This window comes from Homo sapiens, chromosome 8 (assembly GCF_000001405.40).
Source record: "Homo sapiens chromosome 8, GRCh38.p14 Primary Assembly".
NCBI lineage: Eukaryota > Metazoa > Chordata > Mammalia > Primates > Hominidae > Homo > Homo sapiens.
The window spans coordinates 137,632,174-137,647,532 of record NC_000008.11 but is presented as its reverse complement, the minus strand read 5'-3'; the positions used below and the strand labels follow the sequence as shown (position 1 = coordinate 137,647,532).

At 35.5% G+C, this 15,359-nt stretch overlaps 1 annotated feature.

Annotated features, from left to right (window-relative positions):
* Positions 10,511-11,068: an enhancer, noted in NCBI's record as "NANOG hESC enhancer chr8:138648708-138649265 (GRCh37/hg19 assembly coordinates)". NCBI's record gives its function as "activates a minimal SCP1, AML or CMV promoter by ChIP-STARR-seq in naive H9 embryonic stem cells {active_cell/tissue: H9 hESC(naive)}" and the evidence as "EXISTENCE:reporter gene assay evidence [ECO:0000049][PMID:30033119]".

The following is a 15,359-nucleotide window of genomic DNA, read 5'->3' as shown; positions in this document are numbered from 1 at the left end:
TTTCTTTTTTTTTTTTTCTTTCGAGACAGAGTTTCACTCTTGTTGCCCAGGCTAGAGTGCAATGGTGCAACCTTGACTCACTGCAGCCTCCACCTCCCGGGTTCAAGTGACTCTCCTGCCTCAGCCTCCAAAGTGGCTGGGATTACATGTGCCCACCACCACGCCCAGCTCATTTTTTGTATTTTTAGTAGAGATGGAGTTTCGCCATGTTGGCCAGACTGGTCTCGAACTCCTGGCCTCAGGTGATCCACCTAGCTTGGCCTCCCAAAGTGCTGGGATTACAGGCTTGAGCCACCATGCCCGGACAGTCTCTTGTAATGCTTTCTATAATAGTACATACAGGAATGCCTTGTTTTTGATTTTATATTGTATTTACAGTTGGTTTATAACAGAGGCACAGTAAGAATTGACTGAGTGTAGAGGGACATTTGGGTGGATGGTAATATTTTGTGATTATGAGCAATGCTACAATGAACACACCTGTACACATACACACACAGGTGACTATGTAGGATAAGGCAACAGAAATGGGATTGTGGGGACAAATGAAAAATAAATTTTTGACAGGTATTGTAAACCTGCCCTCCATGGGCTTACACCGTTTTGCATTCTAACCAACTAGGTGGCAAAGTTCTTGCTTCTTCAGTGTTGCCACCAAAAATCTGATAATGGAGAAAGGGTATCTCAGTGTATTTTTAAGTTGCTTTTCTCTCTTCTAGAGAAAGGTGAATATAGATTCGTGTGTGTACTGGCAATTTGTAATTTGTGCGTAAGTGTGTATATAGATGTTTGTTTTTATCCTGCTTTGGATTTTTAAAATTGTTTTCCAGTTCTTAGAAATCAAGGTGATAAACTCAGTTGTTGAACTTCAGGTCATCCTGAAGTTGAAAATATTTTGTATCAGTTTTTTCTCTTTTCATCTGACATTATTTACGGTGATTTTTTTTTTCATTTGTATTTACTGTTTTTATATCAAAAGAATTAAATGTATCAATTTAACAACTTCTGTATTTTGAATTAGTTTAAGAAAGATCTTCTTTACCTCAGGTTTATAAGGGAATTAATCTTGTTTTATTTTCATGCTTATATGACTTCATATTTTACGGTGAAATTTTTATCTATTTGAAATTTTACTGGTGTATCCTGCTAAGTTTCATCAATGTAACTCTTCAGTTGTTCAAACCCAATTGTTAAAAAACTTTTAACATTTTAAACATTTAAACTTTTAACATTCCCACTTCAACTTTAGAAGTTACATTTGTCATATATTAAAACTCCATATTGATTTCAAAATATTTCTAGATTTTATGTTTTGTTTTTTTATCTTATTATTTCTAGTTTTAATTGTTTTGAAGCATTATAATATAATATGCCTTATGACCTGTTCAGAATGGTTTTCTGCTGTAGTTCTTAAACAGACTTTCCCTGATTATTATATTCTGTATTTATATAAATCCAACAACCCTTGTATGTAAATATAAATGTATATAAATTTCAAATTTTTATTCATATTACTGTTTTTTATTTCACATATATATGAATTTCAAAGGAAACATGTATGATTTTTATTGTGATCATGGGGCTTTTATAAATTAAATTATTGAGTGTGTTTAGTCCTCTAGGAAGCAGAATCCAAGATAAAGTAAGAATGTGTGACAATGTTTGGAGACTTCTGACTGTGAAAGACTGGGCAAGCGGGGGCAGCGAGAGCTTCAGCCCATAGTAGAGATGGAAAGAGAATTGAGTAGAAGAGCCTCAGCCTGCGGTGCAACTGCGAGCGTCTTAGCCTGCCTAATGGGAGCTTATGGAGCAGAGGTGACCTACAGAGGGAAAAGCCAGCTGCCATGTTGTGAAACACTCAAGCAGTCCCGACGGAGCTCCAGGTTGCCAGGATCTGGAGCTTCTTCCAACAGCAAAGTGGGTGAGGCATTCTGGCAGCAGAACCTCCAGACTCATCAACCACCCGATGATAGCAGCGAGAGCAACATGTTGACGGCAGCCTGAAGAGACTCTGAATCAGACGACCGAGGTAAGCCACACTCAAATTTCATACACACACAGGAAAAATAATTCATTCTTCTTTCGACCTGCTGCATGTGGGGATAATTTATGACATGGTAGTAGATAATTCAGTCACTGCCACCTTCTTCAGTCATTATCTGTGGACTGCCTGGGAAGAGTGTGGGATAGCTCCAACACTGTAGTGGATCCCGAGCTTGCTGAGCTAGAGGATATTAGCTTACTGCTTCCCGAAGGTGACTGGCACAATCTTTCTGCAAGGAAAGTTTGAGTGTATACTCTCATGATTGCCACAAAGAACACAGGACTCTTTCAGGCATTTATTCTTAGCTAAGTCTACCCATACCTTCGGGATTTCTTTTGTGTTCGTGCGTACTGTTTTCTAGTTTCCCCCATGGTCTCTTTAAACATTTATTATTTCCATTGGGTTGTTTAAATCTTTTTTTTTTTTTACTATTATAAGTGAAGTGTTTTCTCTAATCTCTATTGTTTCTACTACAGCGTGTACATGTGAAGGCTATAGATTTCTCAGAACTAATTTTATACTCTACTATCTTACTGAATATTTGTATTGTTTTAAATGGCTTTCTAGTTTGTTCTCGAGTTTTAAAGTGATATTATTATATCACCCTCAAAATGTGATAGTTTTACTAATTATCTTTACCTATCCTTCATCTATTTTCCTTTTCAAATTGCATTAATCAATTTTTCTAGTCCATTAATAAATAGTGGTGGTATCTATCTTCTTGTCTCAGTCTTCTGTTTAAAGAAAGCACTTTCAGTGTTTTTATATTCACCATTTTGTCTGTGTTTGTCTCAGAAGAACAATTATTGGCAAAAATTCCCAATGTTTGTACCCTATATGCTCCAAGGAATTTCACCTTTTTCTCCTCCTCAAGAATTAGGGAGGTTTACTTAAAAGCACATAGAACTATCACAATCCTGTTGTCCAGATGCCTTGAAGAACACAGAAAACAAAATATTCTTATGCTTTTCTAGTAGGCTCAGATATGCATTTTTTGATGTTGTTAACTTGATTAAATCTATCTACGATTTTACTTCTCTGGCCAATAAAATCTAAAATTTATTAACATGCATCTGACTGTGGCTGTTATGTTTATTTTATGTTTTATTTGTGACCAACATGCCCAAGGACAATTTGGGTTTCACTGTTTGATAAGTGATAACACTGATGGAAAATTAAGAATTTGAAAATTCTCACAAAAATGCCACTGAGCTGTTCTAGAGAAGGCTTTGATTTTCTCAGAAATAATTAGCTTTATGGGCCCTTAGATGGACTCCCAGACTTTCTCCCCAAAACCTCAAAGGTTAGTGGGGCACAGACGTGATATGACTGTGCTTAGCATGAAATGGCTGTCAGATTCCTGAAAGATTTCTTTTCTAAAATGTGTTTTAAGTTGGTGGCTATAAGGAAGAAGGCTTGGGTTTAATATCTTTTCTGTCCTCTCTTAGATGAGTTGTTTAAGGCAAAATATTATCACTTCCACTTAAACTGAACCTATTCCTCAGTGAAAAGAAGAACATACACCCTTTTCATCTCACATTCTTGCCATGAAGATAAAAAGTGATCAGTGAAGTCATGCTTTGAAAACTCACAGTTCTGTACAAGTGCAAGTCTTCCATATACATTGAGACCCAATGAGGCAAGAATTCCATATTCCTTATTTATATTTCTCTATGCCTATCACAAGCCACTTCCTTTTATTCTTTTCCAATCCACCCTCCATGTAATCATCAGATTTCCCTTCAATAAATGCAAATATCATCTCATATTCCTCCATTTAAAATTTGATAGTAGGCTCTCAGTGCTGCATAATAAAATCTAAGCTTACCAACAAAGCCAACATAAATGTGGTTGGTGTTCTGAGTCTGGGCTCCCTGCACCCCTTCCTCACTCCTTTTCAACATGCACTGCTCTCCTCTCTGTATTTTAGAAGTCCTGTTCCCTCTCCTTGAATCCCCCTTATCCACTCTGGAGGCACTGTCTCTACTTATCAATAACTCATACCCCTACTTTTCCTTGGCCTAATACCAAACTACAATTCCTAGGCTTCTATTTCTAGACATGCCACAGGATGAAGTTTGGAGCATTTTATGTGAACAGACGTGAGTGCTGCGGCTTCCAGATCCAGTCTCTAAAACCACTTATCAATAGGCAAGATCCAGAAGAACAGGCTGAGAACTCCAGGGGCAAGTCAGTGGCAGGAAGGTGCCCCACATCTGGGTTACTGCATAAAGCCAAACCATAGTCCCACCCTCTCCAGCTCACCTGTGGGTGAAGTGGAGTGTATGAGGTGAAGTGGGCAAGATATAAACCTTTATTGTGCTAATTCCCTGAAATTAAAGTACTTGTAGAGGAGGTGGAATTTCTTATCCAAATAAGGACTTTGCCCTCTCCCTTTCATCAGTTATCTTTAAGGCATAGTTCATGTACCACCTTCCGTAAGAAGATTTCCCTGACCCTTCAGAGAAAGTCCCCTTTATATTGACCTAAAATTTATTTTAAATTGTTGGCTGAAAGGAAGAAGACTTTATATTTACCATAGCAGTATTTCCCTTTCTTATACCAGTCTTTAAAAAATTTGTCTTTACAAATGTTCCACAACTCCCGTGAGGGCCCGAATTGTATCGTCGTACTTTTATGTTCTTAGCAGCATTGCACTGGTAAAAAGACTTTCAATTACGACTTAATAAATAAGTGAATGAGTGAAATAAATCACAGACATTTATTAAAGTTTATACATATAAAGGTGGTGTCGAATATTACATCTGCAAATGTTGGGAACAAGGGTATATTCTTAAGTCTATTTCTAAAGCGATAGGGTATGTTGTTAATCATTTCTTTAGAAACCAACCTTGTAGCCTCCATATGGATAATTTCAATGTAAATCCTATTTCAACTTGGTATTACTTTGACAATATTTTAGTCTGAGACAAAATTCCCTTGCCAGGTAATAGCTTTATAACTCAATGGTATCTAATAAATTTAGAAAAAATGACAGAATTAGATTACTTTTAGTCAATTTTATAAAAGATAAACTACTCTAAGAATACCTATTTGGAAACCTCAATGTCCTCTTGCATTAGCTTTTTGTTTATGTGAGTAAACTATAATTTCAAATTGTTGCTGCTTGTTGACAGAGACTGGGTTTATTAAATGTTCTCAACCCATAGAAACACACAAAGGAAAAGGCTGTTTTGATGGATGCCTCACTGTTCTAGAAATGCACACAGACCCAGATGGATTCAGAGCATTGCATAGCATTTACAGTGGTGTAATTATAATCAACAGCTAAAAAGCGGATCCATTACTTTCTTAAGGCTTTTTTTATGTCTAAGTTAAAAAATACTGAATTATATTTAAAAAGAAAGAGGATAAATGAGGAAGGTTTGCTATAACTAGATGTCAAGGTTTAAGGAAGTATATTACATGGTTTAAATGTACCTGGACACAGAAAGGTCATATTTAACAAATCTATAGCTAACATCATACTCAACAGAAAAAAGTTGAAAGCTTTTCCTGTAAAAACTGAAACAAGAAAAGGGTGCTCAGTTTTGCCCTTTAATCCAACATAGTACTGGAAGTTCTAGCCAGAGCAATTGGGCAAGAGAAAGAAAAGCATTACAATTAGAAAGGAAAAAGTTACATTGAACATTTTCAGATGACATGATCTTATACATAGGAAACCCTAAAGATGTCACCAAAAAAAAAAAAAATCCCGTTAGAACTAAAAATAATTTCAGTAAAGTTGTAGGGTACAAAATCAACATATGAAAATCACTATCATTTCTGATATCAGTGATATTAGTCATATAATCACTAAGAGTGTATTAGTTTGTTCTCACATTACTGTAAGGAAATACCCGAGACTGGGTAATTTATAAAGGAAAGAGGTTTAATTGACTCACAGTTCAGCATGACTGGGGAGGCCTCAGGAAACTTACAATCATGGCAGAAGGTGAAGGGGAAGCAAGGCATCTTCTTCACAAGGCAGTAGATAGGAGAAGTGCTGCCAGGAAAAGGGGGAAGAGCCCTTTATAAAACCATCAGATGTAGTGAGAAGTTACTCGCTATCATGAGAACAGTATTGGGAAACCACCCCCATGAGTCAGTTACCTCCACCTGGTCTCTGCCTTGACATGTGGGGATTATGGGGATTATAATTCAAGATGAGATTTGAGTGGGGACACAAAGCCTAACCATATCAAAGAGCAAACTATCTAAAAAAGAAATAAAACAGTCCCATTTGTAGTACGACAATAAATAAAATACTTTGGAATAAATTTAACCAAGGAGATGAAATATCTCTACACTGAAATCTATAAAAGATTAAGAAATTGAATAAGATTCAAATAAATGGAGAAATCTCCCATGTGTATAGATATTATTAATAACCATATTAATATCTATATTAATGAATATTATTATTACAATCCATATTAATATATTACTAATAAAATTAATATTGTTATTCATACTACCCAAAGCAATCTGCAAATCAATGTAATCCTTACCAAAAGACCAATGATATTCTTCACAGGAGTAGGAAAAACAATCCTAAAATTCACACAGAACTACCAAAAAATTTTTTGAATAGCCAAAGCAATGTGGAGCAAAAAGGACAAAGCTGGAGGCATCACATTTCCTGACTTCAAAATATCTTACAAATCTATGGTAACCAAAACAGCATGGTACTAGCATTAAAACAGACACATAGACCAGTGGAACAGAAAAGGGAGTGCAGAAGTAAATTCACACATTTATAGTCAACTGATTTTCAACAAAGATGCCAAGAACACACAATGGGAAAAGGACAGTCTATTCAATAAATGGTGTTGGGAAAACTAGATATTACCATGCAGAAGAATAAAATTAGACCTTTATCTCACACCACATGCAAAAATCAACTCAAAATTGATTAAATACTTAATAGTAATAGATTAATACTTTCATAGACCCAAAACTATGATGCTACTAGAAGAAAATATAGGGAAAAAAACTTCATGACATTGATCTGGGCAATAATTTTTTGGCTATAACCCCAAAATCACAGGCAACAAAAGAAAAATAGACAAATGAGATTTTATCAAACTAAAAGCTTTTGTACAGTAAAGAAAACAGTCAACAAAGTGAAGAGACAACCTACAGACTGAGAGAAAATATTTGCAAATTATACATCTGATCAGAGATTAATATCCAAAATATATAAGAAACTCAAGCAACTGAAAAGCAAGAAAACAAACAGATTGAAAAACTGGCAAAGGACTTGCATAAACATTTCCTTAAAAATAACATACAAATGGCCAACAGGTATATGAAAAAGTGCTCAACATCACTAATCATCAGAAAATGCAAATTAAAACCAAAGTGAGATTTCACCTCACACATGTTAAAATGGTTATTATCAAATAGACAAAATATAGCAAGTGTTGTCGAGGATGTGTAAAAAAGGGAACCCTTGCCCATTGTTGTTGGTGGGAATATAAATTAGTACAGACATTATGAGAAACAGCATGAGAGCTCCTCAAAAATAAAACAGAACTATCATATGATCCAGCAATTCCACTACTAGATGATACTCAAAAGAAATAAAATCAGTATATCAAAGCGATATCTGCATTCGCTTGTGTATTTCAGCATTATTCACAATAGTCAAGAGATAGAAACAACCTAAGTGTCTCTCAACAGATAAATGGACAAAGAAAAGACAATGTGGTATGTATACACAATGCAATACTATTCAGCCATAGAAAGAAAGAAAATCTTTTAATATCCCACAACCTGGATGAATCTGGAGGACGTTAAGTGAAAAAAGCTAGGCTCAGAAAGACAAAACACTGCATGATGTCATTCATAGATGTAATCTAAAAAAGTAAAAACGTTAATCTCCTTGAACAGAAAGCAGAATAGTGGTTACTAGGAGCTGGGGTACTTGAAAGAGATGTTGGTCAAAGGATACAAAATATCAGTTAAATAGGAGAAATAAGTTCAAGAAGTCTATTATATATCATGGTGACTATAGTTAATAACCATATATTGCAATCTTGAAAAATGCTAAGAAGTGAATGGTAACAATTCTCATCACAAAATGTTAACTATGTGAGGTAATAGACATGTTAATTTGCTAGATTTATTAATTGTATAATGTGTATATACTTCAAAACTTCATGTTGTACACGATAAATACATACAATTTCACCTATCAATTTAAAAAATAAAATAGTACCTTTAAAGGTAGTTTCTTATAGAATCTTTTTAAATGGTTCAAAACTTATTTCCCTATGAATTTCTTATGAATACCAAATAGCTACATTCTTACTGAGGCCTGGGGAAAGAAATGAGGCAGGGAAAGTAAGCAATATACCAACATTTGTATTCCAATAATGTTCATATTACCCACAATCCCTTCTATAAGTTTATAACAGTATTTCTCAAGTGGGAAATTATATATTAATTTAAACTTATATCAAAATGAAAACGTGGTCCAAATTTGTTTTGCTCCTCAACAAAATCACAATGAAAGCTTCCTCTTTTATTTCATAGAGTCACATGAGTGTCATAAGTTATGAGTGACTTCACAACATGTCAAACATATTTTGTAGGTAATAATGGAGTTATTTTACCATGGTCAAAGCTGCCTTTAAAGGTTATTGAGGCTTACTGTCAAATAGAAAATAACATCATTGTATTAACATTAAAGAGACATGGGAATTTGGTCTTTTAAATTCACTTACGTTTAATAATCATTTATAACAGGTTGATATTTTCACATAATTTATATGCATATATATGAATATTATGTTTCATTGCTGTAACTGATATAAGTAAAAATTATCTATATTCTACTAAAAGGAAATCGGTATATTTAGAGGAATTATCCAATGTCATAGCCTAATACTCATCAGAGTTGGATTTCCAAACCATTTTTTCTTCAAATGTATTTTATTTTATTTTTTTAGCAATCACATAGTATTTTTTTTAAGCAAACATCTTAACAAGAAACAATTGTATTATAAACTTTTGTTCTTTTAAACTCTCCAGAATGTCAGAATTACATTGCTTGCTTTCCTTGACAGTCTACTTATACAACTTCATTTTTTCTTGATTATTAAGTATCTCATTCAAGACCTGTCAAGTCCTGCAAAATGTAATTCTACTTTTATAGGCATTTTTGTAATTAAGTTTGTGGGTATTACAGAAAATGTCTAGGGGTGTTTTCTTTAGAAAAAAAAGGATAATAACATTTTACTAGTCTGTGATTTAGCTATTTCTCCCACATATTTTAAGTTTGTGAAAGGTCTTGCAAATGTGTGCCCTAACTGTCCAATATGTTGTCCTGATTTAGTTGCTTCACTAAGGAGAATTTAGACCAATGTCATGGTTCCAGATTCTATAGGCAATGGCTCTTCTATATTACCTGAGTCCTATCAGAGGTATGTGCATTGTGTCTAAGGCAGGGGAAGAGGTTGGTTGATCGAATAAGAAGTGTGAGAAAAAAAATAGGCAAAGGGAGAAAAGTGAAGATGGGCAAATCCTCAAATCCCAAGTGACTGAAACTTCCTGAGGGACACGCTAGGCAAAACATGCCGTTTATCACATAAGAAAGACATTGCATGAAGTATAGTCTATTTTGCTGGGGCTGGACCATATAGGAGGCAGAAGCCCTCCTTCTACCTACAGTGGAAAAAACTTTTAAGTTGCCCCAACCTGGCTCCATCCTTACTCTATCTTCGCTCCACCTTGGTATACAGAATTTCCTGAAAAGTGATGGCTAGCTTAAGAATATCTTATTGCATTAGTCTTACAGTTTCAAAAGACAGTGATTCCAAACTAAAAAGAAATAAAACATTTTAATAAATCAAAAAGATTATTCTTTCAAAACTGGATGGAACAAGAACCTTTAAGCTTTATTCTTCAACCTGAAAGCTGTGTGGCCAGGCTTGTCTCTGCCTTGTAACTATTAAAATTCTCTCCTCCTTTGGAGATGACATGAAAGGCCTGGTTGATGTCCCCCAATTCTCCATAAAGGCCACAATATGTTACAGGCATATATTGGTGTCTTTATATGTAGAAGCAAGACTGAGCAGACATCGACTCCTTACATGTAATTTATATATACAAATTACTCCATGTTATGTGTCTACATGAATGTGTATGTATGAATGTTCATTAGGAAATAACATGAGAATCCCTTTTTTATATTCTCGGATATTGAGGTGCTTGGGAAACATCTACAGTGTTGAGAATGTGGTATCCAAAACATATCTCAAAAAAGAATATGACCAAAATTTATATAGACCAGAAAAACCCTTTTCTCCCAATGTAATATTTTTATAGCCTTCAGATTTTTCCCCCTTCCAGATAAAATATGGTAACCATCTGGGCTGAAAAATAATAAGTTGAGGGAATGTTATTTAAAAATACTAGAAATTCTAGACCCAAATGGCATCACCCACAGTCTTGGGGAATTTCCTTCAACAAACCCCTCTTGTGGTTTGAGATTATAAACCTCTTTGCTGAAATGCAGTGAAAAATCCAGACATCAACAGTACCAATAATTTAATTTTATTTATTGAAAGGTGAAAACTGTTCTACAGTAATTAGAATAAGTAAGTCAGAACTCATTTAATACAAGAGGAGATTCCCATTGCTAAGATGTTCTTTTAAGTTCGTCTCTAAACCACATTGACTCAATGGCCATCAAACTCATGCCTTTCTTCCACTAGTTGGATGCCTTCTTGGTCATTCTCCATTGTCTTGTGAATGTGACCTTAAACAATGCAAATCTGCTTTATTGTACTCCCCTACAATGCCTCTCAATCACCTTTAAGAAGAAAATTCAGCTCCTTATCTTAACACAAAAGCACTTGGATCCAATTCAGAGCTCTTCATTTTAAAAAGGACTTTGAAAAACAAGAGTGCATCTAGAGGACAGTGATAAGGTTTATCGAGGATCTGGGAATCTTGACAGAATAAATGTCTTAAAGAACTGAGGTCCTAGAAATGGGGATGAGAGAAAGTTATGGTAAGAAAGTTATCAGTGCAGGATGAAGGTGTGTGTTACAACCAGTTTAGTAGAGAGTACAGAATGTTGCCATTTGGAATAGCTTCATTTCTTCAGTGTAAAGAGGGTACAAGTATACACTAGCTGTGAATATTCAGGAAAGTTTTATAATCAGTTTTCACCACAGTTTATATTTCTCTAAAATTGTATAATAGGAGTCTCAATCTCATAGGGTTGTGGTGAGAATCAAATCTATATGAAACTTAGTATAATTTCTTTCCCATAAGTAAGTGATTACTAATGCTGATTATAATGACTGCTATTCCCATTATTTTTCCATAAGAGCATTTCAAACATGAAACTAACTGCCTTGGAAGGTATTGAGTTGCCTCTTCGAAAATAAACTCCTTTGGATATCTCAGTACTCCTATAAAAAGCCCTAACCTCCTGAGATATGGAAATGACTATGGTTAAAGATAGAAAATGTTGCTTTCACTTCCCCTTGATGCATTTCACTCCTCATATCCCATGAGAATAAGCTCTGTAGTCATTTTCCTAGTTAACTGATCTGATCCCAGAGGGCTAAAAAATTACAGTTCCAACTAGGCCCCTAAATTAAGCCCTGCAGACCCAGAAAGACAAGACTGCCATCTCTCCAGCTGCTTGCATTTCAAAACATTGTGAAGGGCAGACCGAAGAAGACATCTTTAGGATTTAAAAGACTGAACCCTGGGTTTACTTGGTCCTTGTTGGAGACAGATTTACCTTCCAAAACATTAGGGTGATAACCTGGGATCCCTTCTATTATGTCTCAGTTGAGCAAAAGTTTGTTGCTTTCCTTGCTGAAAGGCAGGAGGTCAGCTGTCACTCTCCTGCATATAAGGAGAGAGAGAACCTATTCTTCATGTCTGCCTTTGGAATGTCCAGACAGGCTTGTAGAAGGTGTCACCATTTTCTTCTCATCTCCTTGACCCAGGTGGCAAGGGGTGATGGTGTGCTTATTATTTCTTGCAAGGTACTTAGTAAGAAACCCATCTGTGATCCAAAATACCTTCTCTGGGCATGCAGAATAAAATTAATAAAGATGAATATATTTTTTTAAAAAAAGGTTAATAATAAAGAGATAGGTCAATACTAATCATGAAAATGTAAAAAGGACTATTAATTTTATAGAAGTGTGGATCTAGCTGAGGTCCAGCAGAGCTGTGTGGAGAAGTGTGACATGGTCATTTTCTACATATATTATCCTCTCGGGGAAAGGGGAAATTTGTTCCTTGTGCATGGGGTTCTTAGTTAATGCCATAAGATGATGATATAAATGGGACTTGCAAAGGATAAAAAATAACATTGGAGCTCTAGTGCTTGGTCTGGAAGTTACACTATTATTAATGCAGGCCATGGTTGTTTAAACGTTTGGAAACCATATCACACCCCTTGGACTTTCTGATTATGTGAAGAATGCCTCTGTGGAGTTAAGTACAGCAGGAACCTGGCCCAATGAAATAACCTGGAAATAAAATGCAAGAGGAACTGATTTCCTGTCCTGACTTCAGTTTATGATTCTCCAAACTCATTTTCATCTCACGGCCTTTCAGTTTGCTGGTTTCAGGAATGATTTTTCCTCTGTTATTTGAGTGGTCTTCTCATTACCCAAATGCTATTCTCACATTGCTTACTTTGGAAGGCTTTTTCTTCAATCCTAGCAAAAAACCAGCAAACACTTTATTTTTGTATTTTATAAACTTCAGAAAGGATTTATTAGGACATAGAGAGAGTAGGTGTTTAATAGATATTTGAAGATGGATTCACAAGTTTTTCTTCTTGGTTACGTGATTGAGCTCCCAACTTATATAATTTTTGAAACTGCTGTGTGTTATACGCTTTTAAGGAGTGGCCTCCTAGCTTTCTGCTAAGAGGAGCTTTTCTGCTATTACACATCTTTATAAAAGTACACCATCTAGTACACATCTTTATAAAAGATATGTAATAGGTTTAGAAAGAATCTGCCTCTGTTTTCTGAGTATATCATGATTGAGAAGTGACCTTTCCTTCTAAGATGGCTTTAAAACCGTTCCTTGTAATTCCCACTGTCAGATATTATTTAAAGTAGTTTTTGCTCTCGCCTCTACCTATATGAAATCACATCTACCTCTACTGCCCTCACCTTAAAACTGAAAATGTAGTCTTGTTTCTACCTATGGATAACCCTCTGTTTATTCTGTGGTTTTTATCTCCTCTTATCTGATCAATGGCATGGCTTCTGAAGTTATCGCTTCGCTTTTGAATCATTCTTTTTCTTCTTCTTGTCCTTCTTTATTAGTTCAGCATGCAAATGTGCAAGCCTGTAATATATTCTAACTACTGGCCCCATGTTAGCTATTTTTATTTCTTTTCTCCGACTCCATCTATGCAAAGATTCCCAAAGAGAGTATCCTCCACTCCCATTTCCACTCACCACAGCACACTTCCCCCTTGAACATTCCCAGTCAGATTTTATCCTAGCTCTCTGTTAAATATTCCTTTTAAGACGTACCAATGACATCTGTTTTTGCAAAATCTAGTAGAAATTTGAAATTCTCCTTTTAATTGAATTCTAGGTAGCAATAATCACCATTTTTGCTGTGAAACACTATTTTCATTAGTCTATGATACTTTCAATATTTTCTCCTGCCTCTTTTGTCCTTTCTTCTCAGTCATATTAGTTAATCATTTTCCATAGACAAACTTCTAACTATATACTCAATTTAGAATTTGAAAGCCAAACATATGATCAAGTATGCAGATTTTAAAATATGGTATAAACAAACAAAAAGGAATGTGGCAGTGGGATGGAGATACAGGCACTGAAAGGCAACAGTACAGATGCAAAAGAAATTAAGTCCCAGCATGATATGGAAAAAAATTCCTAGATCATAACTGGAAAGCAGATCCCAAGACCAATCATCTAGATAGTTTACATGGGTTTAGAAATGTTTCTTTGGAGGTAAAAATGTAACTTAATTTGACAGTTTAGACTGTGTAGAAAATGTATTGGAGAGATACTTTAAAGATTTTTAAAGGATATAGAAAGACACAGATATCAAATAAATATACAACCAAAAAAGTAAGTTATTATTCTCAAGGATAATGCAAAATTGAACAAGAGTAATTTATTAACTGTACACTGACTCAGCAGTGGGCATTTTTATAGTCAGAATATTGAAATTAGCATACAGTAGATAAGGCCATTGATATATTTTTTTCCTCACTCTGTTGCCCAGGCTGGAGTGCAGTGGTGCAATCTCGGCTCACTGCAACCTCCGCCTCCTGGGTTCAAGCGATTCTACTGCCTCAGCTTCTCAAGTAGCTGGGATTACAGGTGCTGCCACCACACCCAGCTATTTTTTGTATTTTTGTAGGGACGGGGTTTCGCCATGTTGGCCAGGCTGGTCTCGAACTCCTGACCTCAGGTGATCCGCTCACCTTGGCCTCCCAAAGTGCTGGGATTACAGGTGTGAGCCACCATGCCCTGCCTCCATTGATACATATTTATATTGTATTTGGAAAGTGCAAGTGGCAGTATAAATGAACTAAGATCCTAAAAGTGGGAGGTAGGAGATAAACTGAAGCAGAAATAAAAATAAAAATATAGTATAAGCAAAATAAAACTAAAAGTAGAGAAGTTTGCCTCTGGGAGCAAGATGGAAGTGGAAATAGAGAAAAAGCACTGTGTCTTGAAACTGTTGTGTTATAAGCCTTTAGCTCTAACTGGCATGTTCATTACAGCATGTAATAGTTTGATAATAAATAAAATTAAAGTGAGTAATTCCCAGTATATATCATTCCAAATTAATCCAATCATGTGTCTTTTCCTGTGGACTCCACATTGTTTTCCTCTTTGTCTTGAGTATGGGGGTACCTCCCAAGCAGAAAGTAGGGTTAGCCTTGAAGCTTCCCAATGGGGCAGGAACAGAAGTACCTATTCAGGTGTGTGACCCAGTCACATTTAGCCGTGGAGTTATCTCCCCATATGCTGGAAAACCTATGAGCAGGCACTTTTTAAGGAGCTTCTACTTTGCTTTTGATGCCTATACATTTGACCGAGAGAAGGTTGGAGCTTTGAGTATGGCACCCATATAATCAAATTTAAAGAAAGTTTGGATTGTGTTTTCTTTGGAAGTGGAAACTTCCTTAAACATAGTCTTTTAGAGGCCACATTCTATCTACTTTCTTGAGAAATGTGTGTTGATTTTGGGAAGCAGTAAGTGCCTGCATTTCTAAACTGTGAGTTCTATCACACTAATATTTATTAGATGGTTCAATAAAGAAGTTAGT